At 44.7% G+C, this 26,249-nt stretch overlaps 1 protein-coding gene across 1 annotated transcript in view, besides 3 other annotated features; it reads right to left on the bottom strand.

Moving 5' to 3' along the window:
- CNTNAP2 (contactin associated protein 2) overlaps positions 1 to 26,249 on the bottom strand; it is a 2,304,198-nt gene that overhangs the window by 66,431 nt on the left and 2,211,518 nt on the right. The window lies entirely within an intron of this gene.
- Positions 13,590 to 14,195: an enhancer, noted in NCBI's record as "NANOG-H3K27ac hESC enhancer chr7:148037465-148038070 (GRCh37/hg19 assembly coordinates)". NCBI's record gives its function as "activates a minimal SCP1, AML or CMV promoter by ChIP-STARR-seq in naive H9 embryonic stem cells {active_cell/tissue: H9 hESC(naive)}" and the evidence as "EXISTENCE:reporter gene assay evidence [ECO:0000049][PMID:30033119]".
- Positions 14,815 to 15,345: an enhancer, noted in NCBI's record as "H3K27ac hESC enhancer chr7:148036315-148036845 (GRCh37/hg19 assembly coordinates)". NCBI's record gives its function as "activates a minimal SCP1, AML or CMV promoter by ChIP-STARR-seq in primed H9 embryonic stem cells {active_cell/tissue: H9 hESC(primed)}" and the evidence as "EXISTENCE:reporter gene assay evidence [ECO:0000049][PMID:30033119]".
- Positions 18,617 to 19,522: an enhancer, noted in NCBI's record as "OCT4-NANOG-H3K27ac-H3K4me1 hESC enhancer chr7:148032138-148033043 (GRCh37/hg19 assembly coordinates)". NCBI's record gives its function as "activates a minimal SCP1, AML or CMV promoter by ChIP-STARR-seq in primed H9 embryonic stem cells {active_cell/tissue: H9 hESC(primed)}" and the evidence as "EXISTENCE:reporter gene assay evidence [ECO:0000049][PMID:30033119]".

Here is a 26,249-nt window from a genome sequence, read left to right as displayed (position 1 = left end):
GCTCCTGAGGACAGGTCCTGGGGAGACAGGAGATGGGTGTGGAGGGAGGAGGCAGGCAGTCCCTGAAGTCCGAGTGGGTCTCCGCTGTCACACCTATGTGCTGGATTGGAACAGCAGCCTAAGGGCTCCCCAAAATGATTTCTGGGCCATTTCAGAAATGTGTCCAAATCCCAATGGAATTAGAAATTTGGTCATTTCAACAACTTTTCTAAGGAAACAGTTCAAAGAATATTGCCTTGATTATCAGGAGGAACCAGAAAAATGTGACAGAAAAGAAATACTTGGAACTAAGATATGCTACAAAATATTTAATGCTAGTATTTGCACAACAGGCTTAACACCAGACTTGTTTTCTGGTTTACAAAAAAAAAAAAAAAAAAAAAAAAAAATTAATCGTTTCGTATTTCTCAGCACCTGCTAAGACTTGCTACCAAAGCTTTGGGTTTATCGAGTTTTTAAATTGTACAGGCAGTTATGTGCTGTAACACCTTGCTGTTCTGAGGTGTGCATTTCTTTTATCTCAAAATAGCACAAAGTTAGGGTTAAAAGTTAATTTCCTGGCCAGACTTTAGTCCCAGTATAGGAAACGTTCGATGATAATAGCTCTGTTCCATTCTGAGTGTACTCAAATGAGAATCCTCGGTAATAAAACCAGAAGCAGACACCAAAAACTTATTAATGGAATATAAAATTGGAATTTTTGGTTTACTTTTGACTTTTTGAATCAACTTCATTGAGGTATAATTTGTACCCCAAAAATGTACTTATTTTAAATGCCTAGTTTGATGAGTTTTGCCAAATACATGTATCTGTATCATAGCCATCTCAACTAAGATGTAGAACATTTAAATTGGAAGTTTGCACACATTTCCTTTTTGTTTCCTGATACTTGTGTGTGCGTGTGTGTGTGTGTGAAAACTCACTCCTGAAAATGAAAATACTTAAAAGAAACTTTCACCCTACCAAAAGGCTCTTGATAATAATTCTGAGATTTTTAGTATTACTGTCACTTGTATAAGAAAATGTGTAGACCAAGATAGCATTGTGCTTAAAATCCAATCAGACAATGATAATATGTAGAGGAGGTTTTGCCACAGTAAAGCTTGCTTTGTTTTTTTAAGATCCCTGCAGAGACAAAAGGGAGTGTTTTATGGACAACGAGGCAGCATGCTGCCCTCGAGTTCCAGGTTTTGGGGGGAATGAATCATTCCAGAATCCATACTTTTGCATAATCCAGTATGAACCCATGCCGATGTGGAAGTGCATCTGCAGTATCCAGTAAAATCCTCACTGCTTCCTCCTCTTTTGTTTCCTTCTATCTCCCATCCACAGCATTCTGAGGGGGAACACTTCAGTGGGCATTCTCAGAGGAACCACAAATTACCTTAAGGTTGTGAAAATGGTCCCCAAACAATTGCCGGGGCCCCGCCTGTTGACCTTGGAGCAGGCTGCCGGGGCTCCAGGACCCAGGGCTGTCTCTAGGATCTTGAGCAACACTGGCATTCACAGTGCATACTACTGTCTTGAAACTTCAAAACATTTCAGCAAACGTGAGTTATAATCTCTCAAAATCACTTTACCATCGTCATCTGGCCAGTCCTGTTTGGAAGACAAGGTAACTGATGGAATCACTTGAGGTACAGGCCAGGGGACTTTGGGGAAAGGTAAAGAAGGGAACTTGTTCTAAGGGAGGTGCTGGCAAAGGAGGCCAAAAGGTAAATGTGTGATTCAGGAGAAAGCATCCCATCAAGGATACCCCCTCACGGTGCATGGTGAGAGTGGCGGCTTCCAGTCCTGGCTTCCTGCCTTGATTCTGCAACTGTCCAAAGTTGAACTTGGGCAAGCCACAGCCCCCCATACTCCTACCATCAGTTTCTCCACCTGCAGCACAAGGGTTGAATCCATGAGCTCAGAGGGCCTCCAGCTCTAACCTCCTGGGAGACTGAGCCTGCCCCTGCCCAGGGCTCTAGCTTGACAGGCACTTTCATGTGCTTTCTATATTCCTAAGTTAAGGGTCCCCACAAATATAACCAGGTCCAATTTGGCGGCACATTCACATTGGCTGGTTTCACGTCTATCTTTTATAGGATACAATTCCTTAAACCTGCTCATCCAGTAAGTTGTCCACGCAAAGGCTGTCCCTGTATTTTAGAAAGAGGTGCATGAACATTCAGTCTTTACTCATTGTCTCTTTAAACAGTTAATACTCTAAAGCTACAATTATATGATGTCTCAGTGTCTGAGTCCACCTTGCCTTGCTCCTTAAGATCACAGCTTCCTAAATGATCTTCCATTTCCACTTTTGCCCTTCTGTCATCCATCCTCCACTCATCCATCCTCCACTCAGCAGCCAGAGTGTTCTTGTAAAAACATAAATCAGACCATGTCACTTCACTACTTAAAACCCTTCAGCGGCATCCAGCTGCTCTTGGAATAAAACGCAATATCCTATCATGATCTACATGGTCCCGAATGACCTGCCTACCACACACTTATCTGATTCCATCTCCTTTGGAGAAGATACGCACAAATTCTGGATATTATGCCTCTACATAGGGAAGAGGCCGTCTCTTCCCCTCTCCCCTTCTGAATGGCCGGGAAGTAGGTGTGATGGCAGGAGTGGAGAAGCCTTCTTGGACCATGAGGTAGGGGTCACATATTGAGAATGCCAGATTGTAGCACAGCAGAGTCTGGGTCCCAAAATATTGCAGAGCTATCTCATCAGTCCTGAACTGTCCACCCATGCTATTAAGTGACAGAAAAATAAATATCCATCTTGCTTAAACCCCTGTGAGTCTCGGTTTCTATTTTTTTTTTTTTTTTGTGAGACAGAGTCTCACTCTGTTGCCCAGGCTGGAGTGCAGAGGCGTGATCTCGGCTCACTGCAACCTCCGGCTCCTGGGTTCAAGTGATTCTCCTGCCATAGCCTCCTGAGTAGGTGGGATTGCAGGCACACACCACCACGCCCAGCTAATTTTTGTATTTTTAGTAGAGATGGGGTTTCACCATGTTGGTCAGGCTGGTCTTGAACTCCTGACCTCGTGATCTGCCCACCTCGGCCTCCCAAAGTACTGGGATTACAGGGATGAGCCACTGTGCCTGGCCTGGGTTTCTCTATTATAGCAGCCAACAGGGTACTAAACAATGCACCACACTTTCCTTAGGGCTCTGTCCTCGCTGTTCCCACTCCCTGGGATGCATTTCCCCAGCTCCTCTCATAGCTGCTTTGTTATACTTCCAGCCTCCTGCTTAAGTGCCGTGTCCTTGAGGAGGCCTTACCTGACCAACTTAACCAAGTTGGTCATATCTCTCCACTGAACTCTAGCAGTGGCCTCCCCACTAGCCTCCCTACCTCCACTCATGGTCTTCCCACCATCCATCATCCACAGAGGCCAAAACCTTGATACGTGATAAGTTGCCTTATCAGGCCTTACCTGACCAACTTATCACGTATTAAACTGTGATAATCTTGTTTGCCCATTTGTCATGCTTGTTTTGCCCACGAATAAGAAGCCCCCTGAAGGCAGCAGCCTGACCTCTCTCGCTCGCTTGTATCTCTCCAGCACCTGGAACAGTGCCTGGTGTGCACTGGAGGGCCCAGTAAGTATTTATGAAATGAATGAACAAGTGTAGGCACAATCAGCAGGATCCCCATTTCAAGTTCTTTTTTTGGTTCTTGGATCTGGGACAAAAGGGCTGGGGACACCTCACAGTTCAGAGGACTCTTCTGAGATGACTTAGCAAATCATCTGGAGAATACAGATCTCAATCCACAGCATTTGCTGCTCACAGAGGGATTTGAAAGAACAGCTTGTCTACCAAGGCCGATTTAATGAAACCACGAAATATATGACTGCAACAAGAACGCTTACAAGAAATAAACTCGATCTGTTGCCTGGTATCCCTCTAATAACTAATGATATAACTACGAAAGGTTGGTTCTGAACATAAAACAACCTCGGAAAGGAATTCAACTGAAGTGCACTTTGTGGTTACAAACACCTAGTGTCAGAGACAGTATTATCGACCCCATTGAAAATAATGACTTATTGCAAGTAACCACAAATCAGCTGACTAGTTGAATGGATATTACACATTGTTTACTACGCATGACCTCAAAAAATCATTAGATCCATACTAGGAGGATTAAGAGGACTTACTACTCATGAATCCCTTCTTTCTGCAAACCTCATATCCTCATGCAAGAATGAGAAGAGCTGTCATTTGGGAATTAGAGAACCAGCCTGGAGTCCTTGCCTGCCCTGTATTTGCGGCTGTAGACAGAAATTCCTTAATCCCTTTGAGTGTCAGTTTCAACCATAAATTGGGAATTTGAGCCTCTCTCTTCCACATTCCCCACACCGAATACATCCGCAGATAGTCTTAGCTGTGCCTCCCAAATACATCTTCAATCTGCCCATTTTTGTACCTTCAATTATGTTCTCATTAAAGCCACCATATCTCTCCACTAAACTCCAGCAGTGGCCTCCCTGCTAGCCTCCCTGCCTCCACTCATGGTCTCCCCACCATCCATCATCCACAGAGGCCAAAATGATACATCAAAGCCCTCCACTGACCTCCCATCAACTCATAATAAACTTCAAACCCCTTGCCCTTGGCCTGTGAGGCCCTCTCGCTAAATTGGCCACTGCCTCCTCTATGACCTCAGCTTCTACTTTTCTCCTCCCCATTCATTCTATTTATCAAGGTTTCCTTCTGTTCAGGTAAATGCCGGCCTTGTCTGACCTCAGGGTCTTTGGTCCTGCTATACCAAACTTGTTCAACCCATGGCCTGCAGGCTTTATGCGGTCCAGGATGGCTTTGTAAACAAAAATTTGTAAACTTTCTTAAAACATCATGAGATTTTGGCCTGGCGCGGTGGCTCACGCCTGTAATCCCAGCACTTTGGGAGGCTGAGACGGGCGGATCACGAGGTCAGGAGATCGAGACCATCCTGTCTAACGCAGTGAAACCCCATCTCTACTAAAAATACAAAAAATTAGCCGGGCATGGTGACGGGTGCCTGTAGTCCCAGCTACTCGGGAGACTGAGGCAGGAGAATGGCGTGAACCTGGGAGGCAAAGCTTGCAGTGAGCCGAGATAGCGCCACTGCACTCCAGCCCGGGCGACAGAGTGAGACTCTGTCTCAAAAAAAAAAAAGAGAGATTTTTTTTGCAATTTTTAAAGCTCATTAGCTACCGTTAGTGTTAGTGTGTTTTACGTGTGGCCCAAAACAATTCTTCTTCCAATGTGGCCCAGGAAAGCCGAAAGGTTGGACACTCCTATTATACCTTTAACTGGAACCCCCTGTCTTTAGATCTGGTTCCTTCAAATCCACTCTAGAGATCTCACTTCCTCCCTTGATCACTCTCTATCATACTACCATTTTTTTCATCGTATTTAACAATGACTTAAATTATTGATGTATTTGTTTGTTCTTGTTTGCTGTTTTATTTATTTATTTTTTTCTCACCAGCAAGTCAGCTCCATAAAAGCAGGGGCTTCGAATCTTTCTTCCCTGGCCTATCTATCCCCAGCACCCAGCACAATGCTGGATGAATTAAGATTAAAAATAATATCTATTTCCAGGGGCTGGTGTGAGGCTTGAATGTAAAAAATGCTTTGTGGAGGGGTCATACAATTGTTGGATTTTATCAATCATTTTATGTGTCTGTAATTAGAAAAGATTATATTGCTGTTTACTAATATAGGTCAGAAGAAATGAAAAGTCTCGCATCCGATTAGGTAGTGAATCTGCCCAAAATCTGTGTGATTGAAGCTGTTCATACATACTGAGATGAAATCACTCGCTGTCTTGTAAGCATCTATTATCTACTCTGCTTCAGGGGGTGTGGCTGGGGTATGAAAGACAGATGCCTGGTCTCTTTGCCTTGACGGTGCTTACAAACAAATGAATGACGTGTGCCTGAGCCGCTTTGGCCTTGGGATCTCTAGAGCATTCATCACCTATGATATTCTTCAAGAGCTGGCTGTGCCCACGCTGTCACCTCGTCCTCCGTGAGGGCCTGGCCTCTCTCATAGGGCGATGAGCTCCATAAACACAAACTATATTTTCCATATTTATGTTAAGTTGCCCAAGGTAGACTGGAAGGCACCCAGCAGGGATGTGGAATTAAACTGAATGATGGGTTATTGGGCAATATATATTTTTAAATATGTCCTTGCAAAAATATCCACTAATAATGCAGGAAACTATCTTACTTTGTATTGGAAGAAAATGTACGATTTGCTTATAATGTGGTCCCCTCCAACACAAAGATAAGGCTTTATGGATTTACTCTTGACTGCTTTCTAAAAGCACGTCCAGGTTGTCTGGAACCCATCACACCCTCTGATGGGGCCCACTCAGACCCAGTGGCTTGAATCAATGAGACGGATGGGTGGCCGGGAGCAGAGCTCTCTTTGTCTGATCCCTCTGACCAGAGAAACAGTGTTAGACTTCAAGAGCTTAGGGAAGAGGGGGAAGAACTACTAGCTGGAAAAACAAACAAACTTTCAGATAAAACTAGCCAAAGAGTCTTGCAAGAAAACGTAAGAGAGAGATTTCTGAAGTTCACCCAGACACAGACGCACTGAGTAAGGTAGAAAAAAAAAGAAAGTTGGGGATGAGTTTGAATTGACGAGAACTACAGGATGTTTGCAGCAAGCAGCTTAGAGCTGTAAAGATTTAATGCAACTCCAGCTGTAAAGATTTAATGCCTGGCTTGTTCCAGGGGGATTCTGGCTGGGTATCTTTGTATCCATCGCCCACCACCAACAAGCAGACATGTTTGTTTCCAGTGCTTTCTGCTTTCTCCTGCTTTTCTCTATGTTGGTCTCTGAGCTTCTCTCATTTCTCCCCCGATTCACTACATAGAATGGCTCTTATTTCTGATATGTGTTTTGTAATGTTTTCAGGACACTAAAATTATTTAACTCTATATTCACTGTAATACCCTAGATAATATAATTTTGGCTCTGAAAGGCCTAATTTATTATCTTGGTGTGACTTTGACAGCCAAACAATCAAATAACTGGTCACATGAGTAAAAAAAAGGTCAAAGAGATGTTGGTTTAGGTGACACCGATGGGGGGCATATATGGTAGGAATACCGTGTGTTTACTGTTCTGGGGTTTCATTCTTGTTGTATGGTCTTGGGTGCTTCCATCTGCTTTCCAAGTAACTCGGGTTAGCTTATTTGTAATTGTGCCCTCATCACTCATTTAATTATCCCTGAAAGCATTACTGGGCAGTTTATTACCATTCTGCCTTAGATAGTTGGTTTTTTGTTTTCTCTTTTTTTTTTTTTTGAGACGGAGTCTCACTCTGTCACCCAGGCTGAAGTGTAGTGGTGCAATCTCAGCTCACTGTAATCTCCACTTCCCGGGTTCAGGCGATTCTCCTGCCTCAGCCTCCCAAGTAGCTGGGATTACAGGCACCCACCACCATGCCTGGCTAATTTTTGTATTTTTAGTAGAGACGGGGTTTCACCATGTTGGCCAGGCTGGTCTCAAACTCCTGACCTCAGGTGATCCTCCAGCCTCGGCCTCCCAAAGTGCTGGGATTACAGGCGTGAGCCACTGCGCCTGGCCAGGTAGTTAATTTTCTCTCTTTGCTGTCTTTGGGAGGGAAACTGAGTGAAGCACTATTGGGTTTGCTGTTGTTTCTGTGAAACCCGAAACCTGTAAGTTAAAGGTAACCATCTAGTATTATTGCATCTTTCTAAGTATTAGGTTGGTGCAAAAGTAATTGTGGTTTTAACCATTAATTTTTTTTTTTTTTTTTTTTTTTTTAAAGATGGAGTTTCACTCTTGTTGCCCAGGCTGGAGTGCAATGGCTCGGTCTTGGCTAACTGCAACCTCCGCCTCCCAGGTTCAAGCAATTCTCCTGCCTCAGCCTCCCAGGTAGCTGGGATTATAGGTGCCTGCCACCACACCTGGCTAATTTTTGTATTTTTAGTAGAGATGGGGTTTCACCATGTTGGCCGGGCTGGTCTCGAACTCCTGACCTCAGGTGATCCGCCTGCCTTGGCCTCCCAAAGTGCTGGGATTAAAGGCATGAGCCACCGCACCCGGCCTAAGCATTACTTTCAATGGCAAAAATCGCAATCATTACTGCACCAACTTAATAGAAAATTGTTCCCTGGAAACAATACTTTTTTCCTAAAAAATGTACTTTTAATCACAAATGTGTTACGGGTAATCATAATTTTCTTATATTTCACATTTAAAAAAGAAACTAAATCTAATTTTCACGTATTCTGAAAATGTTAAAATGCTAAATAAGTGTAGAAAACAGAAAGCGGGAATATCTTATAAAAACATATCCAAGTTGCATTTTTAAATTGTTCTTCCCATTTTTTGAAGTAAGATGCGCTTGCCTGATACTCAGAGTTCAGGTTCTGCTCTGGACCTCAGGGACCCCAGGATCAGAGCACGACTGTAAAAGGATGAAGGGGTCTCCATCTATAAATTCACAACGCAGAGGGTGACACTGGCGCTCAGGGGGTGTGCCAAGTGCCAAGTCTATCAAACTCCAACCTGCAGAAAGGGCTGGTTGATAGGGAAAGGGGAACATTGAAGAGGGATGGGAGGGAATTACTTAATGGGCAAAAACAACAGAGATTCCAAAGCCCAGCAAATTTCAAAGCACTTTCATATAGGAGTTGCTAAGCCTGCTAAGTACTATTTACATCAAATGTCACACCAAGAAAAAAAAATCAGTCAGAACAAATAAAAATACGGAAGTTTAGAACAGATAAGAATGTTAGACTTGGAAAGACAAAGAACAAAGACAATTGAAGATCCAACCCAAAGCCAGGATCCCTCTTAAGAGCTGGCCTCTGCCCCACAGTTGTCCAGTTTCTCTTTAAATATCTAGTGACGGCCGGGCACGGTGGCTCACGCCTGTAATCCCAGCACTTTGGGAGGCCGAGATGGGCGAATCACGAGGTCAGGGGTTCGAGACCAGCCTGGCCAACATAGCGAAACCCCATCTCTTCTAAAATAGTAGAGTAAAATAGTAAAAATACAAAAAATGAGTCGGGCATGGTGGCGGGTGCCTGTAGTCCCAGCTACTCAGGAGGCTGAGGCAGGAGAATTGCTTGAACCTGGGAGGCAGAGGTTGCAGTGAGCTGAGATTGCGTCACTGTACTCCAGCCTGGGTGACAGAGCAAGGCTCTGTCTCAAAAAATAAACAAACAAACAAACAAACAAATAAAAATAGAATCTAGTGACAGCGCTCAGTATTCGTCCAGATGCTGTGGGTTATAGGCTTCTGGCCCTGGGCTCCCATCATTCTCCGTACCTTGAATGAAAGTCTGCCCCCCAGGACCCAGAGGTTCTAACTTAGCACTCAGCACACACATGCCCGTCTCCTCCATGTGAACCCCGCAGAGAGTTAAAGATGGGTCCCCACCTCCCTAAGTCCCCTCTCCTTCAGGCTAAACGTCCCAATTCCTGCTGCTGTTCTGAGTGACCCTCCACTGGCCACACTCGGGCTTGGTAATGTCCACCTCACCATGTGGCCCTCCTAACTGATAACATTCGAAGAATTTCCAGCCATGGCTCCACCACTCGGGGACTGTGTTGCAGCCCTAGAGTCGCCCAGCTCATGGCTAAATCGCGGCATGGACTGTGCTGCCCTCTTAGGTCTCCTTTATTTTGAATTTGTGTAATTGATTTTTTGAACCTAAATGCATGAGCTTATATTTAACCTTGATACTTTCATTTTATTGGTTTTGGCTTAGATTTATACGCACTTAAAAAATGATAACTTGCATTTAATTATAATTCTTCAATTATCAAAGTGCTTTCACATATGCTGCTGATGTACATTTTGATCCCCTTATTTACCATGCCAGCTCTGCCTCCTCACTTTCTATCATCTGCAAATTAGATTAGCAGGAATGACAACAATTGTCACTGATAGACATATTGAATGGACGGCAAGGAACAAAAGACCCAGCCCTGTGAAATGCCTCCCTAGATTCATACCACATTCCAAGCAAGGGGGCAGAGAGCAGGCAACTACAGGACTGCTTGTGTGAATAAGATCATTGCAGAGAATAAAATGTGCAAAGATGAAAAATAAAACAGCATGAGGGAATAGGAAATGATGGGGCAAGGTGCTTTTATAGAGGAGGTGATTGGAGAAGGACTCTGAGCAGGGACTGGAGTGAATGGGGGAGCACACAGTGTACCCCAGAGACCCGGACACACATGAATTCATCAATCGATTGACTTCCTGCAGTTCCAAAGATAATTTCAGGCAATCAATTTTTGACTCGGTTTTGCTCTCCATATTATCAACTAAGTCAGAATTTGCTTCTGAGCCACAAACACTGAACACCTAATACAATGCTTGACACTGAATAAACACCTAAATAAATATCTGTGGAGTAAGTGAAAAAATCTGCTAGGAGAGACTGAGTCAAAGGCTCTGCTAAAATCAAGAAATGCTGTGTGAAGACCATCTGACAAAGTTTCATAAGGTTTGCCCCGGACAACGCTCTCACCCAAGGCACTCCTAGGGGTATCATTAGATTGTGATCAATTGGCTGTAGCCCAGTCATGGGAGCCCTCAGGCTACATGCAGTTGCTGGCATATAAACTACAATTCCAGGCTGATCAGAGGCAACACTGAATTACGAATCTCTAACCTCAAGTGGTCCCCATTTCACCAGTTTCAGAACCTATATATAAAAGAGATATATGGTTCACATGGGATGGCTTGATTCCGGGGAACTCATGTTGGATTATGCAAATCACACGATTCTCCTCTAAATTCTCACATATCACCTATTTAGTAATCTAGTCCAGAATTTTGTCAATCATCCTTTTGCCAGTCTACGCTTTTCTTGGAAACTACTTTTTTAAATGAGTATTTTTGAAAGTTGACATTTTCTTGTCTCTGTTTTTCAGCACCTCTCCAGATTGACAAAGTCTCCTGACAATTACTGATCAGTCACATCTACAAATGTTTGTAGCATTCTGAGGTGTGACTTATCTACATCTTGGGAAATACATTTCTGCAATTAATTAATTACTGATTAATGGAGCAACTACAGAAAATATTCAAATCGAAGAAAGGAAGGTGGACAAGGGAAAGGATGGAAAGATGAGTATGACCCAGTCCTGTACTGAAGATGAACAGACTGGACGTCGAAACATAAATAAAATACATTGACAAATGCTGAGACGACCTAGTCTGAGAAGCACTGTACTGTGGGCTGGTATCAAGGCTTAGTGGGCACCGGGACGGGAGCCACTTTTGCCTGGGAAAATAAGGTCACTGAGCATTGGAGGACAAATAGAGTTTGTGATGTGTTGTGGGACATGTCACAGATGCCTCATGGCTATAAGATAAAAGTGCTCTGCTGGGGAGACTGGCTGAGGTAGTGGTTACGAAATTGGGAACAGAGAGTGGAGGGCCAAGCTAAACAGCGGGGACCTCAGACACTTCATTGGATAAACCCAGCGGTTAAGTCCCTACAGGTTCTCAAGCAGGGAGTGCTGTGGCCCACAATGGAACTTTCCCTTTGTGGAGTATTAATTGAAGATGAGAGTGTGTGGGGCTGGAGCCTGGAGGCTCTCTGCTTCTCACCTTTTCCAGATAAAGTTTTCTTCTGCACTTTGAAAACCCTTTCTTGTTGGAAGGCAACTTCCCATTGTAAAGAAACTCTGGCTGGTGTCCTCTAAGCACATTTACTTTGGAGAGGTGTAGGATTAGCATTTTCACTGAAATAGTTTTTGTTTCTAAAAGGGCTTACTTTAAGTGGTTAAAACCTCCTTTTTCCCTCAAGCCATTGCACAATATCGATCACAGTATTTGTTCATTTAGCAGATCTTTTCTTCCTGTGGCCACAATGAAGGTCAGTGTTGAGCTTTAATGCAGTCCCTGTCCAAATGATGATCAATTTCAAAGGAATAAGAAATAAAAATTGAGCTAGCAGTATTAAAAAATGAATTTTGACTATGATTATTCGTAAAAGCAGTGCAATCATGGGAGGCCTTGTGCATGTATGCACAGATATACCAAGATTTTAGAATGAAAAGTGGATGACAATGGAGGCTGTTCCCAAAACCCTCTGAAGTTTACACAGCCATGCCTTAACAAGAAGTACAGAAAGAACACTTACAGGATACATTAGAATGAGAAAATACTAAATATTAAGGCATTTTTTTTTAAAGTTGAGAAGTGTTGGCTTTCATGCTAGCCTCTCACTTTCAAATCAATACCTTGGACTATACAGAAATAAATTCGAGGCCAGTTTTCAGGAATACAGATTTTAAAATGATGAAAGTGGCAGAATGGTCATCATTTCTGACTCTTTATTGAGGACAAAAATTTCACATTTGTATTATCCTGTTGGAAGCCTGGTGGCGAGTCTGTTTTGAAGACATGATAAACCACCGCAGCAGAGAGTAGAAGGGCCACTGGGAAGGCCTCTCCATGGGAGACCCTTCTCAACACGTAAATAGCTCTGGGCTTGGTTGATTCTGACAAGAAGAAATTAAAGACATAAAACACTCTTCTCTTTCAGATGCGTTGGCTAAGCCTCTGCTCCATCAATTCCCTACTCTCCTCTCAGCTCCACAGGGCACAACACAAACCTCGGGAAGAGATTCCCTTTTCTGGGGGTCACTAGTCACTCTCCTTTGCCTTCTTTCCATGCATCTCACCTTCTCACTAAATTAGAGACTGGGTCAAATGTGGAGTATGGTTTCTGGGAAGTCATTGCTTATTGGCAGTGTATGAAGGTTTAACATAATTTCAATGCATTTTGCCTAAAGTGTTATAGACCCTTTCACTAGTGAGAGAACATCAAAGCCACGCTAATTTATTTAAAATTTGTCTTGAGCTCAGACATCCGGGAATGTGAAAGTTAGAACATTTCTATACTACTAAGGTAGTATAGAAAGACCATGAGCTTAGGGGTCAGACCAACCTGGCTTCTGCTCCCCACCTTAGAAGGTGAGTGACATTGGGCTAGTAACTTCACCTTTCTGAAGCCTCCGTTTTCTGATCTGTAAAATGGGGATAATGTTAGGTAACGCCTAAAAATTGATGGGGACAATATCAATACTTAATAGTTAATTATTATAGTTAATAGTAAGCAATAGACTTTTGAGTAATGGTTGCTATTATTGGTTCTATTACCAACTTTCAGCAGCCTTGGGATTTAAATAACAGCCAGCAACTACACAGAAAACAGTCTTTTAACACACTATTACGGATTAGAACTAGGTAGTATAGCTCAGCTACTGATTAAAAAAAAAATTAAAAAAAAAAGAAATCCTCTGAATCGATTAAATGCAGTGAACTTCCAAAGTGCACATTTCAAATGAATAAGTGTGGGCTGGCAAGAGGCACAGTACCATTACAGTAGAAGCGGAAAGAACGTGAGGAATGAGGCTTTCCCAAGTTAGACCTGTGGTAGTTCAGGTCTTGACGGGCCACCTTGGTGTTTCTTCACAATCAGCGCTAAGTGCATAGCATATGTGCATGGAATTCCTGGATCAGCAGTCGCTGTGGGTCAGAATCCAGATCTTGGCCTTGCAGACCCGTTCAGAAGAAACAAAGGCTGTCTAGACCTCCCGTTTGTGAAATAAACTTGACTTGCACTAGAAGAGCTCCAAGGGTCCTTGTAACATTACAAATAATTTCATAATTCTCTGTTTCTGGAAAAAGTAAAGACGGGCCTGGAGAGGCGGTAATTACACTTTCTGTTCTCTCTTAGTCTCTCTCATCCCATTAAACACAGCCTAGATCAGGTGGAGACGCCTCTCAATAAATACTATGAAAGAATCCACGCTTTCCTAATTGTTTGGCTTCTTAATCAAAAGAAGAGCTTCCTTTCAATTGTTAATGATGCAAATCAATAGGGTATGTGGAAGAAATGACACCTATTCAGAAAGCTGTGAACGTCTGAAGTGCTAATGGTGATGATTAGGTATTATGCAAAGAAAAAGCGAGAATCAATTCTATTCTCCACACACTGCCAGTGGGACTCAGTCCCTACGGGGAGAGGAGCAAGTCCAGAACTGTCTGCCAAATATGAGGGTGAAATATTAAAGCCACCTTCATGGATAACCAAACACTATGCTGAGTTTCAAAAGGGGAAAACCAAACAAGCAATTTGATGCTATTTTTACTCCTTAGGGACAAAGGCAAACTGAACAGGACCGACTTTAAATGTAACGTAATGATTCAAGGAACCTATATGCTTTATCTTCCCTCGGGATGTTAATTATTCTGTTTAAGGGCTAATTTGTTTTGCAGGAGTGTGAAAGCACGCTCCGTTTTGGTGATACTTTTCAGATACTTTTGGGGTGTGTCTACTTACAGAAAGCATTACCTACTAGTATTGTTACTGATTAGTATCTATAATGTTATAACAACTACTAATTTGTTCTAAATTAAAAAGGAAGTCCCCTTCTTTAAACAAGTCTCAAAAATTTTATAGCATGCCAGAATATTAAGATGCTCCTGAAAAGTGTGGGATTTAACTGTTAACATTTAACAGTTCACACCATGTAAATCTCAGCTTTGCCTACACACACACACACACACACACACACACACACACACTGCACGAAGGAGCACTCTCAGATTCTCCTCGTTTTCCTTTACTTGCTCCCCGTGCAGTGACCCTGTGGAGTAGACTTGGTAGTGCTTCGAATGCAAACCCAAACGCTGTGATTTACTCCCCAAAGAACCCCCGACCTTGCAGAGAGAAGATCAAGAATCGGAAATTTTTTGACCAAAAGCGCTGCTTGCAGAGGTGTTAAAATCCAGTTACAGTGCCCCGCTCATCACCCGGACGCTCTCTCCGCCGCCTCCCGCGCTCCCCGGGCTGGAGCAGCGCACCCTTGCAACACTTGCACCGGGAGGCAGCTCCATGTGGGAGCCAGCCCGCGCGCAATACTTGCCTCTTCCCGCCAGCCCCGGTTCAGGTGTGCCCCTCGCTTTGTGATGCAGGTGGCTTTCCCACTGGCCGGGTCAGACTTCAGAACCCCCGAGGACCGTCCTTTGTCGGCCGGCAGCCCGAGTCCCGGCGGGCAGCTTTGAGTCCACCGCTCTCGGGATCAAACCCCGCACCACTGAAAGGCAGGTGAGGGGAGGACGCAAAACCCGGGGTGGAGCGCTAGGCTGCGGCGGCGGATCTGACTGTACTGGGAGAGCCACACAAAAGTATCCAAGGAAAAGCCAATATCTGGACTGGAGTTTTAAAAAACGTAATTGTACTTGCATCCTCCCACCCGTGGGCAATACACACAGCACAAGAGTGGGTCTTTTTTTTTTTTTCGATGTTTGGGCTTTGAGCCTCCTGGTGTATCTGCGTTAAGCACCTTTGATACTGTTGACCTACAAGGAGGGCTCTGAGAGCCCGGACTGCGGGGAAGAAAGTTTTTTTACACTTCGTGTCTTACTTACACTACGCTTGTTGTGGATGGCATTAATAACGGGATTAGCATGGAAAGGGTTACTGTGCTTGATGCTATTGGCAGAGAGAGAGACACAGAGACTGGGTCAATAGGGATTATTTCTGAATGGAACATCTGATACTCTGGGATCTGGGAAAAAATATAATGTTTTCTGATTTTCCTGTCGGGGTTCTACTGCTGTGTGGCCTCCTTCACTCTCAGAGCACAGGTTACGTCCTGTGTAATACTCAGTTTCTGATGGTGGTTTTTTCTTCTTCCACCTCCCCTTTCTCTTCCCCTTCTCCTCCTTCTCCGTCTTCTTCTCTCACTCCCTCCTCTGCTCTTTTTTGAGAAGCCTTAAATCCCACACTTTTCAGGAGCATCTTAATATTCTGGCATGCTACAAAATCAAGTATTTTTCTTTTTATCTTTATGTTGCTTCTCAAAGAAAGGGAAGACAGTAGTGATAGGAAAGAGCAGAAAATGCTTATTGAGGTCCAGGCAGTAGCAGCTGAAGCCTTTAGCAAAATAAACCTTGCTCTGCCTCCTGGTTCATCAGCAGTAACTCACCCCCCCCTCACCCCCCCACGCCCCAATTACTGGGCAATATAAGAGATAGGAATTTGCAAAGGATAGTGGGTAAGAGGCTAGGTCGGGGTGGGGGGAGGGAAGAGTTTGTCCATGGGAGAGAAAATTAGGAAGCTGTAACTTGACTTTCGTAAAGCGCTCTGTTCTTCTGTCTTTTCCAAATGAAGGACAACAGGAAGAGCCTGCTTCATCTGGATTTTCTAATAGACACAGGTTCTGCAAAAAGGATCATGATGCACAGAATGACACACTTCAAATCAGATTATAGGTGTCAGAAACCAAAAAATTAAGTCACCATAGCCAGCCCTTACTCTAATAATTGTTTAAATACATGATCTTTCTAAATGCTCACATCAGCATATTGTATGTCTCCATTTATATAACATGACATTGTGGAAAAGGCAAACTGTCGGGACAGAAATCAGATAAGTGGCTCTCAGGGGCTGGAAGTACAGGATGAGGGGGACAACAAAGGATGTAAGGGAAATCTGGGGGTAATGGATTGCTTTGTGTGTTGATTATGGTGGTGGCTACCTGAATATATTTGTTTGTCAAAACTCATAACTCTACTTAATATAAAATAGTGGATTTTATCGTATGTAAATTTAAGAAACATTCTGTAGCCATAATAAAGATTAAACTAATCAAGTTTAAGGACATTTAAAAAGTCCCCCTGACCCATTGCTCTTTCATCTAAGAAGGTACAATAGGGAATGTGATTAAGAGCTTACTCACTGTGGAGACACCACAGACATAAGGCTTAGAATTTAACAGAGAAGTGTCCCGAAAGTCCAATGTACAGCATATACTCTGCATGGCGCAGGGCCAAGAGCTGGCTAGAAATACATAAAAACCCATTCCTTTTTCACTCTCCACAGTGGTGAGTAGAGATTTCTGTGCAAGAGGTTAGAAGTAGCTGGTAACAAAGCTCTAAAGTGGAGAGACTGGCAAGACGCAGATGAGAAGGGTTGGATCTTGGACAAAGTAGCAGAGGGAAATGCCTGCTGATTCTGAGAAGATCAAACAAAAAGAATGTGACTGAAAGCAGTGGTTCCCAAACCTCGTTTCACATCGAAATCACCTGATTCTCGCTAGATCCAGGGCTGTCAGGGAATCTGACGGTGAAGGAGCTTCCTGGGTGATTGTTTTCAGCTGCCTAGGGCCAGGGCTTGTCATAGGAGAGAAGGAAAGTCCTCCCGGCTCAGGGAGGAGGCTCCTTGTGGGCAGGCGGGTCAGGGCATCAGGATAAGAGGGAGCTGCTTGGATGTGCAGGGGGAGGGCTTTCTTGGGAGGCTGGAGCGATGCCTCTCACAGACTCAGGGAGCAGAGAGGGAGGGGGAGCAGCAGGGGCCTCCTCAGCTTTAGTGGGGTGTCTGCTGCACCGTTAGGGAGGAATGGGGGGAAATGTGAAGTGTCCCCCGTGTTGATATCACTAGCACCTTGCTCTGTGCCTGGGCATTGTGGCCAATCGATAAATATTTCGGGAATGAATGAATAAATGATTGCCACTCCATTAGGCACCTTCCTATATATGTTGCCTAATTTCACAATTACAGCTACCCCTGGGAGAGAGACTGTTATCCTTTGTAGACAGGGCATCTTCAATGCTCAGAGAAGTGAAGTAACCTACCCATCGTTTCACAGTTAGCAAATGCAATGGATATTTTAGCAAAGAATGAGCAGAGATAAGCCTGCCCTGGTAGGTTTCTTTCCACACTATTGGGATTCTGACAATGGACTTGAGTGTTTCATATTTGAAAACATATGAAAGATTGATCTCTTCATGAATGATTACATTTTAAGGTCAAAACCAGTAAGTTTCAAATGTTTCCTAAGGAATGTGTCTATTTTTGATATAAGTTCTATGGCATTAAATTATTTAATAATGGCTCTAGACTGGGGGACAGAGGGAAACTAGATCGCATTTTCTTGGCTCCGCCAGTTGTTAAAATGACTACTTGTTCTGGAATGTACCTTTTAGTTTTGGCTTTTTTTTTTTTCTTTTTCATCAACCAAACAGGAAGTGTAGGTTAGACAGGAGCCAGTCAGTACTCACAGGCTTCCCACTGGAAATCTCTTTTTAAAAGCAACCGAAACTTTTTTTTTTTAAAAGACCATCACCACTGCTACTGATTAGTAAAAGATGACTCTGAGAAGCATATCAACTGCTATATATTTTCAGCCTTCCTCCTTTTTTTAACTATTTGTATTTTTCCTTCCATATTTCTCTAGATGAAACTAGATAAAACTATATCATTTCATTATATCACTATTTGTATTAAATAAGGACTAGAATTAAGGTGCTATCTTGCATAAAATTATATTTATATGCTTAGCTATTAAATTCAAACCCCAAATCTATGAAATAAGATAGAACCAATCAAAGACAATTCTGACACTGGATTCAAATCCAGCATAAATGTTCTTCAAGTTTTTGTAGAATGAATGAATAAATGAATCTAGTTCTGTAATGAGAGGCAGTTACTTAAACCAAACAATGTAGTCATGGCTGGATATGTAGATATTGGGGCAGGAAGACAGACATAAATTCCTCTGGGCAAGAAGGGAAGGAGAATGAGGGAGGTGGGTGACCTTCCTCCTAAGCCTTTTAGTTTCAACAGCTTCATGAAAGATATGGGAATTTCAAGCCAGGAGAACTGAGCACTAATTTGTTAAAGTTGTGAAAAAAAACGTACAATATTTAAACCTGGAGAATACTATAGTTGAATATATCAAAAAGGCTAAGGCAATGTTAAGTAAATAAAAATCTAGAAAGTTTAGCAAATTGTCTCTAAATTCAAATGTGAGTCAGCAGACGGAGATGAAGGGCCAATGAAATGTATTAGGAGGCAGCTTTCTCCCGCATTTCTTTTAGGGGATGATTAGCTGGGGAGCAGGCTGAAGATGGATACCAGCCATCACATTTCAGTTCTTGCGGTTACTGATGTCTGCCTAATCTTCCTTCTCTTGACACGTAATTATAAGCTAGGTGTATATCTGATACAGCAGTTGGTCTCACTCCTGCCTAGTGTCTGGGAGTCTCTTGTCTCTGCTAGGTGTGCTATCACAGCTGCGTTAATCAGTTGATGTGGAGTAGCAGAGCCTGAGGAAGTCACCTCCCTGCTGGAGGTGTGGGCAGTGATTGGCAGCACTCAGCAACAGCAGGAGACTCCCATCATGAGAAAACCCCCATCACAGTCTGCTCAATCCCTGCAATCACTCCTAGAGGCTGTGTGTTCTTTTCAAAGGCATGGCAGGCCTGGATTTCATTGTCTTTTCCCTTTATGAGTTGAGGTATTAGAGAGGAGACCTGCTGTGGGATTAGAGTGGGTTGGCCTCTCTTTGCCTCTGACATCATCTTGAGCCACGGGAGCTCTTTCCTTCTTGGACTTTCCCATGGGGTTTGCTGAGTCTTGCTGCCGTGTTAATTATATTTTCCCTTGGTTGGCAGAATACAAATCAGCTTAGTCATGCTTCTATTTCCTCCAGACACAATACAGCTGAGAGGGAATTTGGCTAAGTGCAGACACAAAGACCAGGCGCCTGGCTCCAGGTGCCTCATCTTCCCCGTCTTTGAGTGGTTCCACCTCAAACACAGACTCAAGGACAAAGAGTCATTGGTAGGATCTGCAAACACTGCCCTCTAAAATTAGAGTCTTGATATCATGAAAGTAGGTTTCCCCTGGCTGTGTCTTTTCAGGAGGCCCCTTCTCTCCACTCTCCCAAAGTCTCCCCCAATGATTGCTGGAGTTCCCCCAGGCAGGCCTTTGCATGGGCAGCCCTCCCCTCTGGTACAAAGCACTTGCTAATCTCTCTCTTCTTGGGTATCATGGCAGTGGCAGTGCTTCTGGGGCCTGGCAAAGGTGTGCAGGCCCTGGTGCTCCATGCTGGGGCAGGGTGCTTTCTGCGGTCACAACTAAAGCAGCTAGTGCAGCCTGTGGTTCCTGCACAACCAGATGGGGCTATTTCTCATAGCTACAGAACTGTGGGTCCACCAGCATGCACTGGCTCTCTCTGACCTGGAAAAACCCCTTTTCCTAACTTTTCTAGTGTTTCTTACCAAGGTCCATGGTGCCAGCCACTGCTCCATTGTCTTGCCAAGTTATTGTGTAGCAAATTTAGATTTTTGCTTATAGCCTGCTTTTCCAAAGTCTTAATCACTACATGGTAGGCCACCCGATTGACTGTCACCAGGCTGCACCTAAAACCCATGCTGCCTTCAGCCCCGAGAGTGAACTGTGCTTCTCTTGCCTCTGTCCTCCCTTGAGTGAATTCCTTCCCAAGAGACCCTGGGATCCCTCATGAAAACAGCCTCCTCGAACCCAAAACCTTCCTAGCCCCAGACATGCCTGAATTCCAGGTCAGACACAACTCAGATCAAACTAGACTCTCTGATAAAAGAACGTAAGTCATGCTGCTGCCATTCATTAGGATGGGGATGTACAACATCTTCTGGAAGTCACTAGAACTGCTGTTGTGGGTCATTAGTCCCATTATGATGAAAATTACACAAACTCTAGCAATCACTTGTCACGCTAAGAATAACTGAAAACTCTTCAAGGATGGGAAGACTGATGTCATGGGGAAAGTTCTGGAGCAGAAATCAGGATGTCCTTAGCCACTAATCAGTGACAGGAGTTGTGCAAGTCAGATTATTTCTTGAGGCTCCAGTGTCCTCACTTGTAGAACATCCAACACTGGCATTCCTTGCTGTACCTCAAGGCCTGGGAAGTCGGATAAACATACATTTTTGCACAGCACAGAAAGAGCCTCTCCAGGAGTTGAGACCTGACTTCGTGGCATCTCTTCTGACTGCAGTGAATCTTTCTCTGTTAGGGTCAATATTTTTACAACTGTCTCTACATGAATCCCTTTCCCAGTAGTCTGGTGAACTCAGTGACATTGTTGAACTGAATTTCTGGGATTCAGGTGGACTCCACCAATGTAGCTGATACTGTGTGAGGTTTTCTATCATTTCTGGTAGCCTTTCGTAGTGATGGCATGAGGTTACCTCATGCCTTTCTATTCAAATTTCAGCAGTAGGAAAAGAACCAAAATGTTCCATAAAGTCCTCCCAGTCAATTAACTTCACCTAAAAAATGAGTGTTTTTTTTTTCCTTTCCTGAGATGGAATCTGATCTGTCACCCAGGATGGAGCACAGTCGCGCAATCTCGGCTCACCGCAACCTCTGCCTCCCAGGTTCAAGTGATTCTCCCACCTCAGCCTCCCGAGTAGCTGGGATTACAGGCGTGTGCCACCATGCCTGGCTAATTTTTGTATTTTTAGTAGAGACGGGGTTTTGCCATGTCGGCCAGGCTGGTCTCGAACTCCTGACCTCAGGTGATCCACCTACCTTGTCCTCCCAAAGTGTTGGGATTACGGGGGTGAGCCACCGTTTCCAGCCTGAAAAAATGAGTGTTTTGATGTTTTTGTATAAACATCCCTGTGATGGACATCTCTCTCCATACAGCTATGTTTGGAGGAGCAGGGCTGTTAAGAGTGGCAGGGGAGGAGTCCACTGAAATCTGAAAAAAAATCTTTGGGCAACATAGTGATAAAGGATATGTCATCATGTTTATTGTGGTAGTACTCACACTAGAAAGGATAATCTTACAAAGTTGCTCATAGGAGGTTCTGTGATCCTATTTTATACTTGGTTTAGGCTCTGTTTCTTTTTTTGCAGATTTATAGTAAAATGATTACATTGACAAGCTGTTCTACATCCACCCTCCCCGTTTCCAGCGTGGAGCCCTGAAGCATCGTTCAAAAAAGGACAAACAGCCTGAGAGGCAGATAAATGGATGGCCTGGTGTAATTTTAAATCACATGAATGATGTTGCTTCTCTCTCTTCCCCTGGAGAACCTCTTTCCATGTCTGACTGACGATAATGTGTGAAATTTTTCTTACTTAGCAGGGAGAATTAGTTTGTTTTAGTATCCAGAACACAGCACTGTATTTGGCTACTAGCTAAGTCCAATTTTTAATATATTACCATGCATAAACATGGTGGGAGTTCAGAAGGGCCACGCTCTGGGTCAAGATTTTTATAAAATAAGCTGAGGCTCAATTCATTTTTCTCAAAACGCTGGAGGCCCCTGCCCTTGCCAAGCCCAAGATCCTTTCTCTCTGAACTGCTCATTCACAGTCAATTCTCCCTCTAACTATGAGTAAAGCATCACATCATATCCTATTATCCTAAGAATAAAATAGGAAGGTGGAACACACAGAAACCAGAATTTCATGTCATAAGCAAATAAAGCATACATGGCTTTAATATACATCTATTCAATGCTCTACAATAGTTTCACAGTTTAAAAATAATTATAGGAATTATGATTTTTGCTCTGTTGTGCCAAATGTTTATAGGTTTTTTTTTTTTTTTTGTCCGCTCAGTTTGTCATGATTTTACCAGGTAAAATGTGATCTCTTTGTATATCTATTTTAAAACATAAAGGCCCTGGATTTGACAAAACGATGACAGCAATTTCTTTAGCTCCTCCAGCACCTCATGAACCACCATCCAATGCTTCCCTGGTCTGGGAGGAAAGAAGTGAGAGCAGAGGGTGGTGCTGCATCTGGAAATGTGATCAAAATGGTGAAAGGTGCTCGTGAGGCAGGCAGGCAGCTCCATTTTCTCCCTCCTGCCCTCTCACACAACTTACCGAACGTGATCATGTGCAGGGCAGTGTGTAGTAGTTGTTGGGGGAATTCGTAGCTACTGGGGGTTTTAGACAAAGAGGAGGCCATTCTATCCATCCACTCCATCTGTCCATTCCATCCATCCAATCCATCCGTCCGTTCCATCCATCCACTCCATCCATCCAATCCATCCGTCCACTCCATCCATCCACTCCATCCGTCCATTCCATCCATCCACTCCATCCATCCACTCCATCCGTCCATTCCATCCATCCACTCCATCCATCGACTCCATCCGTCCATTCCATCCATCCATTCCATCCATCCATTCCATCCATCCACTCCATCCGTCCATTCCATCCATCCACTCCATCCGTCCATCCATTCCATCCATCCATCCATCCATCAACTCCATCTGTCCATTCCATCCGTCCACTCCATCTATCCATCCATCCATCCATCCATTCCATACGTCCACTCCATCCATCCCATCCATCCATTCCATCCATCCACTCCATCCGTCCACTCCATCCACTCCATCCCTCCACTCCATCCATCCATTCCATCCGTCCATTCCATCCGTCCATTCCATGCGTCCACTCCATCCATCCACTCCATCCATCCACTCCATCCGTCCACTCCATCCATCCATCCATTCCATCCATCTGTTCCATCCATCCACTCCATCCATCCATTCCATCCATCCACTCCATCCGTCCATCCATTCCATCCATCCATTCCATCCGTCCATTCCATCTGTCCACTCCATCCATCCATCCACCCATCCCATCCATTGACTCCATCTGTCCATTCCATCCGTCCACTCCATCTATCCATCCATCCACTCCATCCATCCCATCCGTCCATTCCATCCATCCACTCCATCCATCTGTCCATTCCATCCATTCATTCCATGCGTTCATTCCATCCATCTACTCTATCCATCCACTCTATCCATCCACTCCATCCAATTCCATCCGTCCATTCCATCCATCCACTCCATCCGTCCATTCCATCCATCCATTCCATCCAGCCACTCCATCCGTCCATCCATTCCATCCATCCATTCTATCCGTCCATTCCATCTGTCCACTCCACTCCATCCATCCATCCATCCATTCCATCCATCAACTCCATCTGTCCATTCCATCCGTCCACTCCATCCATCCATCCATCCATCCATTCCCTCCATCCACTTCACCCACTCCATCCGTCCACTCCATCCACTCCATCTACTCCATCCATCCATCCATCCATTCCATCCGTCCACTCCGTCCGTCCACTCCATGTGTCCATTCCATCCGTCCACTTCATCCGTCCACTCCATCCATCCACTCCATCCATCCACTCTATCCATCCGTGCACTCCATCTATCCATTCCATCCATCCACTCCATCCATCCACTCCATCCATCCATCCACTCCATCCGTCCACTTCATCCATCCACTCCATCCCTCTGCTCCACCCGTCTGCTCCATCCGTCCACTCCATCCATCTGTCCACTCCATCCCTCCACTCTATCCGTCCACTCCATCTATCCATCCATTCCATCTGTCCACTCCATCCATCCATTCCATCTGTTCACTCTATCCATCTGCTCCATCTGTCTGCTCCATCCATCCACTCCATTGATCCATTACATCCATCCGTCCACTCCATCGATCCATTCCATCCATCCATTCCATCCATCCATTCCATCCATCCACTCCATCCACCCATTCCATCTGTCCACTCCATCCGTCCACTCCATCCATCCACTCCATCCATCCATTCTACCCATCCACTCCATCCATCCACTCCATCTATCCATCCATTCCATGTGTCCACTCCATCCCTCCATTCCATCCATACATTCCTTCCATGTCTTTCATCCATTTGTGTCTCAATCTGTATTTGCTGGATAGCTTTGTGGGGCAGGCATGCTGCTGGCTGGGGAGGGTGGGGGCCTCAGTCAATAAGCCCAACAGGCCAGACGGGGGTAAGGGCCTGCACTGGGGAAGTGATGGTGGCAGTGGGGAGCTCTGGGGCAGGCCCTGGCCCGGGGGGTGTGCATCAGGGAAAGCTTCGAGGGTGAAGAGATATCTCCTCACTTGAAGGATGAATCAGAGTTGGTCAGGCATAAGGCTGGATAAAGAACGTCCCTGTCATTAAAATCAACATACTCAAGGGTTCAGATCTGTGAGGGAGAATGATCCCAGCACTGACTGTCACTGTTGATATTTTTGACCCTTGGGACTATTGATCAGAAAAAACCTACCAGGAGCCTCTCCTCAAGACCTTCCCCTTCCAATCCTTTCCAGGTCCCCTTGGTTGCTAATAGCACAGCACTGGCCTCGTAACTCAAATCCTGGGGCCATCTTCAGCCTCTGTCCTGTGTTCCTATTATACTGTGACCCACAGCCCGCACATTTGTTCCTTCTGTTCCTGCACTGTTCTCAGGTCTTCCCCATCCTCCTAGTAGAAGACTGTCCCCAGCCCGCCACCATGCCTTGTCCACAGGGGGCTGTCCGTGACTGTCAGAGGAATGAACAAACAGTGAATGTGCCTGAGCCACCGGGGACTTCTTGATGGTCTGAACTTCATTCTAGGCATTTTCTTGAGCCTCTGATGCCTCTGGAGTGTTTCTTCCTCTCTTCTAATCTAGACCATATAAAAATGGAGTTTAACTTTTTAGCCGACTAGCAAATAACATAGCAATGGCCACTGGAAGCTTTCAGCAATTTTCAGAAACACCAGAGAATCCCCAAGGTCAGACAGAATCTGTGGTCCTGGGGAGCCTGCTGGGTGTCCTGGTCCAGGGGTCAGAGTCCGTTGCAGACAGGGAGGGGGCCAGCAGCCCCAGGCAGCAGCATGGAGAACACAGTGAGGGAGAAGTGGCTTGAACTGAATTCCCTGGGATGGTTTGGGCCTTTTTTTTTTTTTTTTTTTTTTTTCCAGACAGAGTCTTGCTCTGTCGCTTAGGCTGGAGTACAGTGGCACAATCTCGGCTCACTGCAAGCTCCGCCTCCCAGATTCAAGCAATTCTCCTGCCTCAACCTCCTGAGTAGCTGGGATTACAGGTGTGCGCCACCATGCCCGGCTAATTTTTGTATTTTTAGTAGAGATGGGGTTTCACCATTTCACCATGTTGGTCAGGCTGGTCTCAAACTCCTGAACTTGTGATCCACCCGCCTCGGCCTCCCACAGTGCTGGGATTACAGGTGTGAGCCACCGCGCCCAGCTTGTTTGGGTCTTTCTAGGGAGAATGACCCTGGGACAGGTGCCTGGAGCACTTGAATAAACTGTCTGTGACCCAGCCCTGATTTGAGGGTGGATGTGAGTTCTGTGAACCTCAATGCTGGTTCCATAACCCAGGTCTTGAGAAAACCCTCCCTACAAGTTCATGGCCCCAAGGCCTATTGAACACCAAGAGATGGAATCTACAGACAGACAACAGCTTGGCCATATGCGACAACAGCACGCTGACCCACAATCTGCAGCAGACATTCCAGGAAGCTGGCCCCAAATGATCAATTGATACCAGATTCCCTAATTTTGTCCCTGCTGCCAACTTTAGGCCAACCAGAGGGAGCCAAATATAATCCCCTCACC

The sequence above is a fragment of the Homo sapiens genome, chromosome 7, assembly GCF_000001405.40.
Source record: "Homo sapiens chromosome 7, GRCh38.p14 Primary Assembly".
Lineage (NCBI taxonomy): Eukaryota > Metazoa > Chordata > Mammalia > Primates > Hominidae > Homo > Homo sapiens.
The sequence above is the reverse complement of the archived record's forward strand: the minus strand, read 5'-3'. Positions and strand labels throughout refer to the sequence as shown.